At 34.5% G+C, this 19,001-nt stretch overlaps 2 pseudogenes; both read left to right on the top strand.

Moving 5' to 3' along the window:
* Positions 2,244-10,600, top strand: USP9YP18 (USP9Y pseudogene 18; annotated as a pseudogene).
* HSFY6P (heat shock transcription factor Y-linked 6, pseudogene) lies at positions 10,940-12,220 on the top strand (annotated as a pseudogene).

Genomic DNA, 19,001 nt, shown 5'->3' with positions numbered 1-19,001 from the left:
TGGCATGACTGACCATGTCTAGAGGCTGGAAGCCACACTTGCTCATACACCTCTCACCACTCATCCATGTTTGCCCTTGGCAGGTGATAACTCCAGTAACTCCAGCTGGGTGTAGCCTGCCAGGTAGTGTGGGTAGAACAAATTTAGCAGGCTTGATTAAAGCTCAGGGAAAGGCCCCACTGGCCACAGAGGATTTCATCTGACAAAGTGACTCCCCTAAAATCCCATTGCAAAAGCAGCATAGCTGGTTGTGTTTAAATGACTTACTTCTTTTAGTTCTTGAAATACTGAAAATTCAGTGTCCTACATTTTGGATTTTTTTAACCTTATTTGGAAATGATTATATTTCAAAATTTTTACAAAATCAAATTTGAAAGATTATTATTTGCATTGAACCACCTGATCCATCTTATGTACACTGCATTTTTTTTTTAAAGATGGACTTTCACTTTTGTAGTCCATGCTGGAGTGCAATGGCATGGTCTCAGCTCAGTGCACCTCTGCCTCCCAAGCAGCTGGGATTACAGGCACCCACCATGGTGCCTAGCATGGCATTGGGCTTCAGATTAGCATTCTTTTAGTAGATTATGAAGCTTGCTTATGAAACAATATTTCTAATTCCTGGACTTTGACATTTTGTACTTATGTAGTTTCTGTTTGGGAGGCACTTTTGCTGGGCATTGTAAGATGATGAGTGCATTTCTGGCATTTTCTGTTAAATGCAATAGTAACATCATTTTTCTGTGGTTGAAATACCCTAATACGTTTGTGTCTCATGGAATCTAAATTGTTGACATTTACTATTCTAGAGAGTTCTGAAGAATAAATTAAAAACCACTTTTTAAAATGTTGCAGATGCCAGGAGGGGTGGTTCACACCTGTAATCCCAGCACCTTGGGAGGCTGAGGCAGTGGGATCACCTGAGGTTAGGAGTTCTAGACCAGCCTGGTCAATAGGGTGAAACCTCTTTTTCACTAAAATTACACACACGCACGCACACACACACACACACACACACACATAGAGAAAGAAAAATTAGGTGGGCATGGTGGTGGACAGCTGGAATCCCGGCTACTTGGGATATTGAGGCAGGAAAATTGCTTAAATCCAGGAGGTGGAGGTTGCAGTGAGCTGAGATCACACCATTGCACTGCAGCCTGTATGACAAGAGCAAAGCTCTGTCTTAAAAAAAAAATTGCTGAAATTTTATATGAGATCTCATTTTTCTCTAACTTTTGGCTATTCTGCCATCCTGACATTTTCTCTAACTTGCTGCTGTTCTAACATTCTGTCATTTGTGAAATAAACCAGGATGTCCTGCATGTACTGTGGAACTTAATATAAAACAAAATTAAATTAATTAAATAAAAATAAAACTTTTTTTTCTGGATGTGGGGTTGTAGTAACTTTGAAATGTGTGCACACTTTATTTAAAACATTTTGTAATTAAAAATCAGAGTTGTCACAAACTGCATTGAAAAGTTAAATAAGTAGTACATCTCAATTTTTAATTGATTGAATTTGTTTTCTTTTAATTTTAGAATGATATCTCACATTGCCTCTTTGGCTGGAGTGCACTGGTGCAATCTTAGCACACTGCAGCACCCTGCTTCCCAGCTTCAAGTATTTATTCTTCCTCGGCTTCTTGAATAGCTGAGATTACAGGTGTGCACCACCACACCTCATGTGTTTTTACCATATTGGTCATGCTTGTCTCAATATTCAGACCTCAAGTACTCTGCCTGCCTTGGCTTCCAAAAGTACTGGAATTACACGTGTGAATCGCCATGCCTGGCCCCTGATTGAATTTCTAATTGAATAAAAAAGTCCATCTTGCAAAACCTTATTTTCTACATCATATTTTTGATGAGTTTCTTTATATGTCTCATAATTCAAGAAAAATAATATAATTTTAATGTATTATACTTGGAAATTAATTTATTTTTATTAATATGTAACTAAAATAGTAGGTATATTTAGAATGTTATTTTGCTTTGGTGTAAAGTTCTGAAGTTTTAGAAATTTCTGTAAAAATCTAATTTGGATAATTAGTTACATTAGTTGATTGCACTCAGTTTTTTTTCCTCAGGATTTTCTTTTGTAAGAAAATTCAAAATTGTTTCAAGATACATTGAGATGTTTAATTATGTGAAATAGACTTAAAGGTATTTTCTTTGAAAATAAAGTTTTTATAACCTGTCTTTTCTACTAATAATATGTGATTACTTCTTCTAACTTACTAGAAATTAATTCGTTTTCATCTTGCCTTCATCTAAAGTTCACCTGCAATACATAAGAAGTGAATAACTGCTAGCAGAGAAGGCTGTTCTTGTCTGTAACTGACCCACTACCATCAACCCTGGTTTTGAGCTGCTTGCAGCACCAGCTATTGGCTGTGTAAAAAATCTCACAATGATGCTAGACTGTTTGACTGAAACATATTACAAAGACAAAGCAATAACTAGTGAATATTTTAAATTATAAAGAAGTTTTTGTTCATTAATCACACTTTAGTTTAAAATTCTATTATTTCATTTGCAAAAATTAACTTATGGGTTTTTTCTTTTTGATTAACTAGTTTACCATTTTGTAGCCATCAGGTATATAATTAAAACCATGTAAGTAAGAGAACATTATTTTTCAAAATAAGCATGTATTTCTTAACTTCTCTCCTATAGCTGGTTTTGGTAATTTACCACAGTGGGTTTTATTTAGTTGTATGTGAAAAAAAAATACTAACCCTTTAGAATACAAGAAGCCAAATTTAATGCTACAAAAACTTTATATTTAAACTGTATGCATTAAAAAGATTTTCATAACCCAAACTTTGAAGTTGTTTCATGGTATTTTAGTTATATTATAAGAGAGGTATTGTTTTAAAAATCATAATGTGAGAAGAGAACATTTGAGTGCATTTTATTACTTTTAAATGTCCATATTAGTTAAGCAAAATAGGTAGCAATGTTGAAATCTTACACAAAACTGAAACTCAGACTGGGAGCCAATGTAAGTAAATTAACAAGTAATAACATGAAATTTAGTTGATTTCAAGAGAAATCTGAGGGTTAAGTACATAATTAACAACAGCATTCTGTACAGATATTTAATTGGAAAATGTGAAATTATATTTATGTTTTTCTCTGTGTGAGTATATTTTTTAGTACATTGTAGGAGTTTCTAGCTAAACTCATTACTTAAAAGGTCAGATCATTCTGTGTCCTGTGGGATCTATGTAGAGAGAAGAGTTTCCTTTTTGAAAACACTTTTTTTTTTGTTAATTTGTTTAACTATTGTATTGGAATAGTAAATTTGTATTTTCAAAAGAGATTTTTTAAAATAAACAGTATTGTTGTTAAACTAGCCAATGTTTTCTTGTGATTAATATATATTTTCAAATATACAAGAGGACATGCACTAAAAACTATTATCTTGCCACCAATATTATATTTCTGGTACAGAGATTTTCTTTGAGATATATGCACATCTTCATACAATTAGCTATTTTTTTTTCTTACAGAAATGATCATATTTCTGATCAAAGTAAAAAAATCTTTTGAAAATATATATTTACTATTCTAATACAATAGTTAAACAAATTAACAAAAAAAAAGTGTTTTCAAAAAGGAAACTCTTCTCTCTACATAGATCCCACAGGACACAGAATGATCTGACTTTTTAAGTAATGAGTTTATATACAATATGGTTAACCTTGTTTTGTACTTAGTCACACGCCTGTCAATACAACAAGATCTATTTAATTCTGTTTTGTAGCTACATAACTTGCAGTTCAATGTGCTCTAATTTATGTAATCCATCTCTAAGTTGGATTTATGTGTAAGTCATATTCAGTTTTACAAAAAGTAGCATTTACAATTTTCACAGGTATTTTAAAGACAACTTCTAATTGACTTCATCTCACAATAAAACTATGAACATAGATAAAACAATTATCACTATTAGCTGAGGAAGAAAGTGATATTTATGTGAAGATTATAGTTTTTATGAATCAGAACAATAATGTAAATGTAGTGCTCAATTAAAACTGAGAAAACTCTAAAGTTCTATTTATGTAAAGTTCTGATTAAAATGTATTGAATACACTTAAGTGCAAAAGTTTTTTAATATGTAAATTTGTAATGATTAATGCTAAGTCTGTGTAACACATTAGAATTTAATATTATACCATCATGCATGACCTTTTCTAAGAAAATTGTTACAGAAGCAATGTCATTAAAAATGTGGACTTAAGAAGTCTGTGGTTAATAATTCTGTGATCCAGCAACTATACATAATCCCAGTCATCAGAAACAGTATTTCTACAATTGAAAACACAGTTAGTGATGAACTCGATGATCGTTCAAAGATGAGAAACAAAATTGTGAGGTAAGTTTTAATTATCATTTTTTGAATATTCTCATAGTAGATACTGTTGTTCTTCCTCAAATTAGTATAGTTTCATGAGGTTTTATCAGGACTGCATTTTGATGATATGGCTATAATATCTGAGATACTATGACTGGCATATTTATTGTGATCACTATCTAGTAAGTTGAAATTTTAGTTAATAATATTTATCAATGTTTTTTGTTGTTTTCAAAGCATGGTTGATATAATCACATTTGCACAACATGGTAAATGCAATTCATTCTTTGGATAATGAGAAATTTTTGTTTTTAATAATTATATTCTCATCTTGTTTTATAAAGTAGGCTTTTTTACTGTTCTATCTGTGTTATATAAGTTGTGCTTATTTTTAGGATTCTCTAAATATTTTTCTCAAATTAGGGTTTTTTCTGCTAAGGAAAAAAATTGATTTTCAGATAATGCTACATGGACCTGTTAGCAACATGACGTAACTATTACAATCAGGCTGCTAAGGGTATAAAACATCTGGTTGAAAATAAAAAGTATCTGGTTGAAAATAAAGCAGCAAAAATATTAGGTTTTAGTGGCAGATTACATATTTAAGATATAGCTATTAAATAAGTGAATACCAAAAACTTGAATTTTGGAAATGTTTGTACTCAAGTAGTTCCTTTACTTTTTGCATAGGTATTGATAGAAACTAAATAAAGAAATTAGAATATTTTAATTGTAATAAATCTTAAATTTCTACATTTCTCTTCCTCAGTAATCAGAAATAGTTTGGTTTTCAAATAGCATCTCAGCATTTATCATTTATGGAGATTAAAAACACACTTGCCTCTCCCTTTCTAGATCTGATAGATCACACCACGCAGGCATTAAAACCTTGGTAGCATTTCTTTTAGTAGAATGTCCATATGGGACGTTCGCTAACACTTGGTTAATAGTCACTAATAAACAACAACAACAACAAAAAGTAAAATTTAGTTCCTTGTACTGTAATCAGTTTTACCCCTAGGGTTTTGAATTTAAAACAGATAGAGATGGTTAATTACACTGGCAAGAAGTGAATGAGGCAGACAGAATATAAAATTCAAATTAAATCCCCACCTTTGTGCTTCATTGCTTGTGCTTTATGATGTCTTAGCGCTTTACTGTGGCTGCATGTCTGCCTAGCTGCTTTTTCTATACAATGAACTTCATCAGGGCACAAACTGGATATTGTTCATTATTGTATCAAAAACCTCAGATGTAGAGAAAAACATACAGAAACATGAGAGATATGTGTAAAACAACTGTATTTTGCTCTGTAGCTATAAGGAAATTATGACCTTTGGCGTTCCTGTGTGTGCTCTCATTCCTTCCACAACTACTCTTAATAGCTGTACTTATTGTGCAGTAATAATTCCAAATACATCACATAAATTATATCATGAAATCTGTAAAAATGCATTAAAATCACAAGAAGACACTGAATTCTAGGAGAACAAAGTATCTTATTCCTCATATGGCAGAGCACTGATTTGTTTTTAATCTGTCTACTCAACAACACTGTAGTATATTTTATTACCTGCAATATATGCTATTGTTTTATTATTGCTAAGGATAATTTTTCTGTGATCTCTTTCTGATGGTCCCCCTGTGAAATAATCACTAATCCTAAACATTAAAAACAATAAGTTCTTTGAAAATAATATTAAAACATGCATATCATCTTATTAACTAAGTTTTGGTATTTATTTCAACTTCTTTTATTATATTTTAACGTTAGATTAGTGCATCACCAATGTATTTTGGTTTCTATAGCAATGCTCATCTCCAAAATGATGTACGTAGTTAACGTCATAAATTTAAAGATGAGCCCACATTAAACAAGATAGAAGATAGGAAAGAGAACAATATTCGTGTCCAAAGACACCTTCAAGCCTCTTTTACATTTAGTTGCCTTCTGACTAAAATACTATGTACTGAAAATTTTTTGGAAACACTTCAGGTAAATTATGGGTGATTTATCAATTTAATTTTGATAAAATCGTCTGTACATTAAATTTTTTAAATAGATCTTTAAAATACATAGTTTATTTGGCATGTAATATTTAAAAAATAGTAATATCCTAGCTGCATTTCTTGATCATTTTTATTATTGTCATACTAATAGAAAAAGGTTAAAATTGTCACAGCAAAGACAGGCCACTGTATTCTTTCATCTCTTAAGGTATAATTGACTTCTTATAGGAAGATTTGTAATCTATATAATCAAAATATTAAAATGAAGTCATCTCCTTGATTTAACAGTTCTCAAATGAAGCAAATGTCAAGTACATTTTTTAAGTGTACAGATATTTTAATACATCCCTAAAGTTTTTTCAAAAATATATGACCAGGGTACTGTTATCACACATAATACAAATTATTTTACAACCTTGGGCAACGTAGAAAACCCTGCCTCTATGAAAACAAAACAAAAATTATTCAGGTGTGGATATATGAGCCTGTAGTATCAGCTACTTGGAAAGATAAAATACCATTTATTTGACTAACTTTGATATTTGATTACACTTTCCTCATTATACTGTTCAATTTAGACTAGCACATCAATGATGTCTTTTAGTTTCTAGAGTAATGTTTATGCCTGAGATTATGTATAATAATCACCTCAGAAATCCATATTACTCATCATCAAATAAGCATTTTTATTATCAAATAAACCTTTTAATCACTGACAAAAAAGTACTGCTTCCTAGTCCTGCAAGATAAAATATATATGATATACTTTTATATAAATATATAATCTATAACTTCATGTAATATACACATAATTTTTGCAAGCCTGAATGTAATCTCATAGATTTTGAGCCTCTTACAAAAGTGACCAATAACACTTGGTCCGTGTTTAGATTTGAAAAATCTCAACTAGGCCAGGCCCTGTCACTCACATGGATAGCCTTAGCACTTTGGGAAGCCAAGGGAGTCAGATTACTTGATTTCAGGAGTTCAAAACCAGCCTGTGCAACATGGTGATATCCCATCTCTACTAAGATGCAATAAATTAGCTGAGTGTAATTGTCTGCACTAGTCCCATCTATCCGGGACACTAAGGCGAAAACATCACCTGAGCTGTAACCGTGTTGCTGCATTGCAGACTGAGTAATGAAGAGAAGCTGTGCCACACAAACACACACAACCACACATGCACACAAAACCACACACACACACAGAGAAAGAGTTTAGTGTTCTTTCAAGAAGGTATTTCTTAGATAGCTCAGAGGTAGGAAGAAAAAGGGATCTTCTGATTTCTGGGCTGTCTTCTGTTTTACTCACAGTAGTTCCCTTTCTATGTATTAGCATATCACTTAGATTTCCTTTAAAAGTCTTTAGTGCACGTGTAATTAACTGACTGCCCATTATAGCTTTCAGTAAAAGTTTCCAAATTTCATAGCTAAACTGTAAACCTAGGTTATAAATATGATTTGCATATATAATTCTAATTTACATATTTCAATTCTTTATCTGCACACGTCCCTCACTCTCATTTTTTCTTGTGTCAACAATTTATTTTCATTAGCTTTCTCTACTCAAAACATTTCTTTTTCTGCAATCTAGTCAACATTTCTGTTCTTGTTCTCTCAAATTATTATAACTCTTTGAGCTTCTGTCTTCAAAACTTTCACTCAATAATTTATGTGTGCATGCATCTATATGTGATCATCTGCTATCACTTGGCACCAGGGCCTGTTTTTGTGAAAGACAAGATTTTCATCAACTGGGGTTGTGGAGACAGTTTTTGGAAGATTTGAGTACCCTCCATTGATTTTGCGCTTTATTTGTCTTATTATTACATTATAATATTTAACAAAATAATTATACATCTCACCATAATGTAGACTCGGTGGGAGCCCTAAACTTATTTTCCTGTAGCTAGATGGTTCTATCTGTGGGTGATGGGAGACTGTTGCAGGTGATCAGTTGTTTTGATTCTTATAAAGAGTGCAAAACGTAAATTTCTCTCAAGTGCAGTAAATAGTAGTTCCCTCGCTTCTATAAAAATCGGATGCTGCCACTGATCTTCAGAAAGCGGATCTCAGGCAGTACTGTGAACCATACTTAGTGTTTTAAATAGAGATAAGGTTTCCATGCTTGGCCACCACTCACCTGTTGATGTGTAGCCCCAGTTCATAACAAGACGCAGATGGATACTGATTAGGGAAACCCCAGCTCAAGCCAAAGAGTTTGAGACCACAGTGAACTGGAATTGTGCCACTGCATTTTAGCTTCAGTGACAAAGAACCTGTCTTCACAAATAAAAGTAAAAAATACATTTTATAATTTGTATTTTAAATAATATCTTTTGATACAAATGTGAGAAATCTTTTACAACTTTAAATGTGGACATGAACAGTCTTCAAAATCTTCTTCATTCTGTGGAACAGTGTATCAAATTGAATGTGCAAATGCACATCATTGTAAAATGTGATAAAAAGTTTGTTTTGTTCAGTTTTGAAAAAAATAATTATCTCATTGAAAACAACCAGAAGACAATTAGAAGTGTTTGTGCTCATCCACAAAATTAACTTCTGCTTTCTCTTTAGTATTTGCACGGTATCAGAGAGGTAGTCAAGATGATAACTGGCTTAAAGGAGAATGTTATTGACAAAATCGAATGACTGACTAGGAAAAAAAAAGTTATTCTCATTAGGTGAATAATTTGAGATGTAAAATAATCTCCCAGATTGTTTTCATCTCTACTCTAAAATAAATTGCATTTTAATGATTGAATCTTGAAGAGTTGGTAGAAGAAAGCATTATTCTTTTTCTACTATAAAAATCTCTTGAAGCAAAAATGTTCCTTCATTTTATGGGCTTCCAACAGATTTTAACGACCACTTGTAGTTTCACAAACAGGTCTCTTTCTTTAGGCCTAACCAGCTAATTTTATTTCTTTGCAATTTGACTAGGATATATAATGGTAAAATGTCTTTGAAGATATTATATATTAAATGACAGGTATGTCTTTCTTGACCTTCATAACATCTCACCTCCAAGCTGTCTGCATTATCTTGCACTTAGCTGCCATTTAAATTGTGGTTTATTTTTAACAGCATACTGCCTGCTATTTTCACCTCTGAGACTTGGAACAATTTCTTTTCACCCTGCCTGCCACTCTTAATTCACACCGTTTAAAGTATTATGTATAGGTTTTACCTTTTTATAAGACAGAGAGTCCAGCTTTGCCAACAGGGTGAAGCCCCATCTCTACTAAAAATATGAAAATTAGCCAGGCGTGGCGGCAGATGCCTGTAATACTAGCTACTGGGGAGGCTGGGACAGGTGAATCGCTTGAATCTGGGAGGTCTAGGTTGCAGTGAGCCTAGATCCTGCCATTGCACTGCATTCTAGGTGAAGAGAGTGAAACTGTCACACAAAAAGAAAGGACAGTGAGGATTAAATTTATTAATATGTGTGCAGCTCTTAGTGTATTACCTTGACTTTAAGCACTATAAGTATTAACTGCTATCATTATTGCTTACTTTGTATCTTCAGTTTACTCACACCAAATTCTGCTTAATTGCATAAAAGAAAATATTAGAGAAGTAACACAGATAGTAGTGGCTATATGGAACCACATAGCCATCACTCTCTGTGTCAGTAATGTTTTCTGATTTGCAACAAATAAGAGACCTTTTGCATATAAAGGTTCTGCAAACAGATTTCCCTAGACATATATTAAAGTGTTTGAAAACAAAAACAAAAAAATCAATACTATGGTAAAATGTAACAAATTTAAAGTCATTAGAGTAAAATATCTGTCTACATAGCATTTACATTTTATTAATTATTTATGTAGAGATAAAGTAAACTACACAGGAGGATGGGTGTGCATTATACTTATGTACTGCATCATTATAAAGCAGAAGCTTGAGCAGACATACATTTTGGTATTTGAGATGTTTCTGGAGCCAATCCCCTACAGATACCAAAGGATTGCTATATATAAATATGTTAAGCTTTGATAAGAAAGTATTGCTTAAGTTAGTTATGGCATAATTACCATGATGATGTTAATGATTATTTACTTACCTTTTTATAAATAAATTAAAAAGATTATAAGCTTTAAAATTATCATTACATTGTTTTTGATATTTGCTGGGGAAATGAGAACATTTGTACATGGGGACACATTCTCTGTTTATGGTATGGTAACACAATTAAGCACTTGCTATTTAAATAATTTCCTTTTTTTGTTTTGTTTTGCAATTACCTATGCTCCTGTCACCAATCTAGTAAGTGTGTGTGTCAGGGAGAAAATTACATTTATTTCTGGGATTGAGGACACTATTTTCTTGTTTATTTAAATCATGCTGAAGGGATGAGATTTTTGCAGCTGACACTGTGTAAGTTAGCAGTGTATATTTGATTTTCAATGGATACATTTCTCAGACTGGGAAGGAAGCACTTTTGGTCAGATTTTTTGTTGGTTGCTAGGAGACCAAAATCCTCTTGTGATGTCATTGCTACTCACCTTGGGAACATCGTGATGGTCTAGATTTCTTTACCTGCCTAGGCCTTCTGAAGCAGCATTTGAAGCCGCAGTCTTGAAAACCATGCAGGCTGGAAGAGTAGCTAAAGAAATGTTTATTTGAGATGGCACATGTTTCTTCAGAAATTCAAGATGTTTCTCCCAAAGATTAGTTAACTGGTTCAGAAGCCTCCAGTAGGTCTCCGTTGCGACAGAATTTTCATTTTTTTTTTTTTTTTGAGACGGAGTCTCGCTCTGTCGCCCAGGCTGGAGTGCAGTGGCGCGATCTCGGCTCACTGCAAGCTCCGCCTCCCGGGTTCACGCCATTCTCCTGCCTCAGCCTCCCAAGTAGCTGGGACTACAGGCGCCCGCCGCTACGCCCGGCTAATTTTTTGTATTTTTAGTAGAGACGGGGTTTCACCGTATTAGCCAGGATGGTCTCGATCTCCTGACCTCATGATCCACCCGCCTCGGCCTCCCAAAGTGCTGGGATTACAGGCGTGAGCCACCGCGCCCGGCCTTTTAAGAAATGTTTATTTGAGATGGCACATGTTTCTTCAGAAATTCAAGATGTTTCTCCCAAAGATTAGTTAACTGGTTCAGAAGCCTCCAGTAGGTCTCCGTTGCGACAGAATTTTCAAAGATCTGCCTTTCTAGCCACCTTTCTGGCAGAAGAGAAAGAATCCGATGCCTTAAGCAAAGCATTTAACATATTTCAGTTACCACTCTATGTAAAGTATGTATGTAATTTTACTTTGAACATCAGTAAATATGTTAATACATGCAACAAGACCAGATGTTGAAAATTATATAAAATATTAAGGTAGAAATTATTTATTTTTTTGAAATTATTGAGTTCAGCTTGAGCATCAACCTTTCAGAGTTTTCAGAAATGTTGCTAAAACTTTGAATCTTACCAGTGAACTCCAAATAAATGTATCAAAGCCACTTAATGTAATGTTGCTATTAATATATAACATGTTTTCACCTGAGGGCTTAACAATTTGAGTGCTTTTTTTTCCCAACAAGCACTTTCTTAAAAATAGCAAATAATGTTCATGAATTATTTGATGTCATTAAGTTTGTGTGACGAAAGAGAAATCTGATATTTTATGTGTTATGTTTGTTATTGTCACTTGTCTCCCGGTTTAAAATGGCACTGAATTACCTTTTTCTTTGGTTTTAGTTAAAGTTTTATTATAATCCAAATTTCAAACGTGGCTGTCCCCAGCATTTAGTAAGGGTGAAAAGAAGAATTGGTGTTAAAAATGCTTCACTTATACCTACTTTATTCAATGAAGATTTCAACAAGAAGCATTTTAGATCAGGAGCTAACATTAACAGTACACACTTTTGATCTTACATTAAAGGATTCCAACATGTTTGTGCCTTTCATTACCTCCTGTTAGAGTCCATGTTTCATGTTTTCTAATGCACATTTCCTTGCTTCTTCTTTTCTTTGAGATAGTCTTACTGTGTTACCCTGGCTGGAGAGCAGTGGCATTATTTCAGCTCACTGCAACCTCAGCCTCTGGGTTCAAGTAATTACTGTGCCTCAAACTTTTGAGTAGGTAAAATTATATATGCCCACCAAGCTGGGCTAATTTTTGTATTTTTCGTAGAAACGGAGTTTCACCAAATTGGCCAGGATGGTCTTGAATTCCTGGCCTCACGTGATCCACCCACCCTGGCCCCTAAAAGTGCTGGAATTACAAGGTTGAGCCACCAAACCCCTCCTCTAATACAGATGTTCATCACATTGGTTTCATCTATACAAAGTCAGATTTCATGGCTTTTGTCAGGATTTGATACCTTTTAGATTCTGAATCCATATCCTCAGCATGGCTGAACAAATCCCTTCCAGACCTAATATTTATTTTCCTGTCAGCTTCATGTCTTTCTGTTTCACCACAGTCCAGTTGGAGCAACATCTGGACAACTCCACTTTCAGCCATGCCCTTTCCTATCTTGTAACTTGGGCCCCATTTTTTCTTGGAGATAAATGCTCTCTCCCGATTTGCCTACTTAAGACTCCTACAACACAGACATCACTCCTTCCAGGAGGTGCTTCTTATCTGTCACATTAGTTTTCTTGTCTGTCTGTCTGTGTCTCCTGGACACCCAGCACTGATGTCACACAGTACCTAATACATATATGTACATTTTTGTATTTATATATACACACACACACACACACACACACACACACACATATGTATGTGAATTTGTGAATGTTGACTGTGGACATACAACCATAAAATCTATTTTCATTGTCAAAAATGAACATTATTGGTGTTGTGGTATTACTTGTTATTCTTCATTACTCACCACAACTTTTCATAAAAGGGTAGGTCAGAGTTTTGTTCACTAGAGGTGCAATAATTTTGACTTACTGAGATTAACATCCCTGGTTATCATTTCAACTATCACGCTTTCTTTTTCGGTATAGGTATGTTTTTTTATATATGTATATATTTGTATATTTTTTGTATATGTATTTTTTATATTTGTATATGTTTTATATTTGTATATTTTTGTTTGTATATTTTTGTATATTTATTTGTATATGTTTGTTATATTTTACATTTTTGTAAAAAATTTATTTATATATTTATATTTATATATATTGTAAAAAATATTTATATATTTATATATTATATTATTCATATATTATATATTTGTATAATGTGTATATATTATTTACATATTTGTATATTTTATTTTTTTATATTTGTATATTTTTATATTTGTATATTTTTTGTATATTTATTTGCATATTTTTCTAAATATATTGTATATATTTTTATATATATTTGTATATTTTATTATACTTTAAGTTCTAGGTTACATGTGCACAACGTTCAGGTCTGTTACATATGTATACACGTGCCATGTTGGTGTGTTGCACCTGTTAACTCGTCATTTACATTAGATATATCTCCTAATGCTATACCTCCCCCACCATTCCACAACAGGCCCCAGTGTGTGATGTTCCCTTTCCTGTGTCCAAGTGTTCTCAATGTTCAATTCCCACCTATGAGTGACAACATGAGGTGTTTGGTTTTTTTGTCCTTGCAATAGTTCCCTGAGAAGGATGATTTCCAGCTTCATCCATGTCCCTACAAAGGACATGAACTCATCACTTTTTATAGCTGCATAGTATTCCATGGTGTGTATGTGCCACATTTTCTCAATCCAGTCTGTCATTCATGGACATTTTGGGTTGGTTCGAAGTCTTTGCTATTGTGAACAGTGCCACAGTGAATACACACGTGTGTGTGTTTTTATAAAAGCATGATTTATAATCCTTTGGGTATATACCCAGTAATGGGATGGCTGGGTGAAATGATATTTCTAGTTCTAGATCCTTGAGGAATCACCACACTGTCTTCCACATGGTTGAAGTAGTTTACACTCCCATCAATTATGTAAAACTGTTCCTATTTCTCCACATTCTCTTGAGCACCAGTTGTTTCCTGACTTTTTCATGATTGCTATTATAGCTGGTGTGAGATGGTACCTCATTGTGGTTTTGATTTGCATTTCTATGATGGCTAGTGATGACAAGCATTTTTTCATGTGTCTGTTGGCTGCATAAATGTCTTGTTTTGAGAAAGTCTCTGTTCATATCCTTCACCCACTTTTGGATGGGGTTGTTTGTTTTTTCCTTGTAAATTTGTTTGAGTTCTTTGTAGATTTTGGGTATTAGCCCTTTGTCAGATGAGTAGATTGCAAAAATGTTCTGCCAGTCGTGTAGGTTGCCTATTCGCTTTGCTGGTACTTTTTTTTTTTTTTTTTTTTTTGGTCTGCAGAAGCTCTTTAGTTTAATTAGGTCTCATTTGTATTTTGGCTTTTGTTGCCATGCTTTTTTTGTTTTTGACATGAAGTCCTTGCCCATGCCTACATCCTAATGGTATTGCCTAGGATTTCTTCCAGGGTTTTTATGGTTTTAGGTCTAACATTTAAGTCTTTAATACATCTTGAATTAATTTTTGTGTAAGGTGTAAGGAAGGGATCCAGTTTCAGCTTTCTGCATATGGCTATCCAGTTTTCCCAGCACCATTTATTAAATAGGGAATCCTTTCCTCATTTCTTGTTTTTGTCAGGTTTGGCAAAGATCAGATGGTTGTAGATATGTCGTATCATTTCTGAGGGCTCTGTTCTGCTCCATTGGTCTATATCTCTGTTTTGGTACCAGTACCATGCTGTTTTGATTACTGTAACTTTGTAGTATAGTTTGAAGTCAGATAGCGCAATGCCTCCATCTTTGTTCTTTTAGCTTAGGATTGACTTGGCAATGAGAGCTCTTTTTTGGTTCCATATGAACTTTAAAGTAGTTTTTTCCAATGCTGTGAAGAAAGTCATTGGTAGCTTGATGGGGATGGCATTGAATCTATAAATTACCTTGAGCAGTATGGCCATTTTCACAATATTGATTCTTCCTATCCATGAGCATGGAATAAACTTCCATTTGTATGTTTCCTCTTTTATTTTATTGAGCAGTGGTTTGTAGTTCTCCTTGAAGAGGTCCTTCACATCCCTTGTAAGTTGGATTCCTAGGTATTTTATTCTCTTTGAAGCAATTTTACATGGGAGTTCACTCATGATGTGGCTCTCTGTTTGTCTGTTATTGGTGTATAAGAATGCTTGTGATTTTTGCACATTGACTTTGTATCCTGAGACTTTGCTGAAGTTGCTTATCAGCTTAAGGAGATTTTGGGCTGAGATGATGGGGTTTTCTAAATATGCAATCATGTCATTTGCGAACAGGGACAATTTGACTTCAGCTTTTCCTAATTGAATACCATTTCTTTCTTTCTCTTGCCTGATAGCCCTGGTCAGAACTTCCAACAGTATGTTGAATAGGAGTGGTGAGAGAGGGCATCCCTGTCTTGTGCCAGTTTTCAAAGGGAATGCTTCCAGTTTTTGCCCATTCAGTATGATATTGGCAGTGGGTTTGTCATACATAGCTCTTATTATTTTGAGATACATCCCATGAACACCTAATTTATTGAGAGTTTTTAGCATGAAGGCTGTTGAATTTTGTCAAAGGCCTTTTCTGCATCTATTGAGACAATCATGTGGTTTTTGTCTTTTTTTCTGTTTATATGCTGGATTGCATTTATTGATTTGTGTACATTGAACCAGCCTTGCATCCCAGGGATGAAACCAGCTTGGTCATGGTGGATAAGGTTTTTGATGTGTTTCTGGATTTAGTTTGTCAGTATTTTATTGAGGATTTTTGCATCAATGTTCATGTGGGATATTGGTCTAAAATTCTCTTTTTTTGTGTGTCTTTGCCAGGCTTTGGTATCAGGATGATGCTGGCTGCATACAATGAGCTAGAGAGGATTCCCTCTTTTTCTGTGGATTGGAACAGTTTCAGATGGAATGGTACCAGCTCCTCCTTGTACCTCTTGTAGAATTCGGTCGTGAATCCATCTGGTCCTGCACTTTTTTTGGTTGGTAAGCTACTAATTATTGCCTCAATTTCAGAGCCTGCTATTGGTCTATTCAGAGGTTCAACTTCTTCCTGGTTTAGTCTTGGGAGGATGTGTGTGTCAAGGAATTTATCCATTTCTTCTAGATTTTCTAGTTTATTTGCATAGAGGTGTTTATAGTATTCTATGATGGTAGTTTGTACTTCTGTGAGATCAGTGGTGATATCCCCTTTATCATTCTTTATTGCGTTTATTTGATTCTTCTCTCTTTTCTTCTTTGTTAGTCTTGCTAGCGGTCTATCAATTTTGTTGATCTTTTCCAAAAACCAGCTCCTGGATTCATTGATTTTTTGAAGGGTTTTTGGGTCTCAATTTCCTTCAGTTCTGCTCTGATATTAGTTATTTCTTGCCTTCTGCTAGCTTTTGAATATGTTTCCTCATGCTTCTCTAGTTCTTTTAATTGTGATGTTAGGGTGTGAATTTTGGATCTTTCCTGCTTTCTCTTGTGGGCATTTAGTGCTATAAATTTCCCTCTACACACTGTTTTAAATGTGTCGCAGAGATTCTGGTATGTTGTGTCTTTCTTCTCATTGGTTTCAAAGAACATCTTTATTTGTGCCTTCATTTTGTTATGTACCCAAGTAGTCATTCAGGAGCATGATGTTCAGTTTCCATGTAGTTGAGTGGTTTTGAGTGAGTTTCTTAATCCTAAGTTCTAGTTTGATTGCACCATGGTCTGACAGACAGTTTGCTATAATGTCTGTTCTTCTACATTTGCTGAGGAGTGCTTTACTTCCAACTATGTGGTCAATTTTGGAATAAGTGAGATGTGGTGCTGAGAGGAATGTATATTATGTTGATTTGTGGTGGAGAGTTCTGTAGATGTCTATTAGGTCTGCTTGGTGCAGAGCTGAGTTCAATTCCTGGATGTCATTGTTAACTTTCTGTCTCATTGATCTGTCTAATGTAGACAGTGGGGTGTTAAAGCCTCCCATTATTATTCTGTGGGAGTCCAAGTCTCTTTGTAGGTCTCTAAGAACTTGCTTTATGAATTTGGGTGCTCCTGTATTGGGCGCATATATATTTAGGATAGTTAGCTCTTCTTGTTGTATTTATCCCTTTACCATTATGTAATGGCCTTCTTTTTCTCTTTTGTTCTTGTTGGTTTAAAGCCTGTTTTATCAGAGACTAGGATTGCAACCGCTGCCTCTTTTTGTTTTCCATTTGCTTGGTAGATCTTCCTCCATCCCTTTATTTTAAGCCTATGTGTGTCTCTGCATGTGAGATGGGTTTCCTGAATACAGCACACTGATGGATCTTGATTCTTTATCCGATTTGCCAGTCTGCATCTTTTAATTGGAGCATTTGGCCCATTTATATTTAAGGTTAATGGTGTTATGTGTGAATTTGATCCTGTCATTATGATATTAGCTGGTTATTTTGCTCGTTAGTTGATGCAGTTTCTTCCTAGCATTGATGGTCTTTAAAATTTGGCACATTTTTACAGTGGCTGGTACCAGTTTTTCCTTTCCATGTTTAGTGCTTCCTTCAGGAGCTCTTGTAGGGCAGGCCTTGTTGTGACAAAATCTCTCAGCATTTGCTTGTCTGTAAAGGATTTTTTTTTCTTCTTCACTTATGAAGCTTAGTGTGGCTCGATATGAAATTCTGGGTTGAAAAATATTTTCTTTATGAATGTTAAATATTGGCCCCCACTCTCTTCTGGCTTTCAGAGTTTCTTTTGAGAGATCCACTGTTAGTCTAACGGGGTTCCCTTTGTGGGTAACCCGACCTTTCTCCCTGGCTGCCCTTAACATTTTTTCCTTCTTTTCAACTTTGGTGAATCTGAAAATTTTGTGTCTTGCAGTTGCTCTTCTCGAGGAATATCTTTGTTGCATTATCTGTATTTAATGAATTTGAAAGTTGGCCTGCCTTTCTAAGTTGGGGAAGTTCTCCTGGATAATATCCTGCAGAGTGTTTTCCAATTTGGTTCCATTCTCAACTTCACTTTCAGGTACACCAATCAGACGTAGATTTGGTCTTTTCACATAGTCCCATATTTCTTGGAGGCTTTGTTCATTTCTTTTTATTCATTTTTTCTCTAAACTTCTCTTCTCACTTCATTTCATTCATTTTATCTTCAATCTCTGATACCCTTTCTTCCAGTTGATTGGATTAGTTAATGAAGCTTGTGCATTCATCATGTAGTTCTCGTGCCATGGTTTTCACCTCCCTCAGGTTATTTAAGGACTTCTGCACATTGGTTATTCTAATTAGCCATTCAGCTAAACTTTTTTCAAGGTTTTTAGCTTCTTTGTGATGGGTTTGAACTTCCTCCTTTATCTTGGAGAAGTTTGATTGTCTGAAGCCTTCTTCTCTCAACTCATCAAAGTCATTGTCCGTCCAGCTTTGTTCCATTGCTGCTGAGGAGTTGTGTTCCTTTGGCGAGTGAGAGGTGCCCTGATTTTTAGAATTTTCAGGTTTTCTGCTCTGTTTTTTCCCCATCTTTGTGGTTTCATCTTCCTTTGGTCTTTCATGATGGTGATGTACAAATGGGGTTTTGGTATGGATGTCCTTTCTGTTTGTTAGTTTTCCTTCTAACAATCAGGACCCTCAGCTGCACATCTGCTGGAGTTTGCTGGAGGTCCACTCCAGACCCTGTTTGCCTGGTTATCAGCAGT

The sequence above is a fragment of the Homo sapiens genome, chromosome Y, assembly GCF_000001405.40.
Source record: "Homo sapiens chromosome Y, GRCh38.p14 Primary Assembly".
Lineage (NCBI taxonomy): Eukaryota > Metazoa > Chordata > Mammalia > Primates > Hominidae > Homo > Homo sapiens.
The sequence above is the reverse complement of the archived record's forward strand: the minus strand, read 5'-3'. Positions and strand labels throughout refer to the sequence as shown.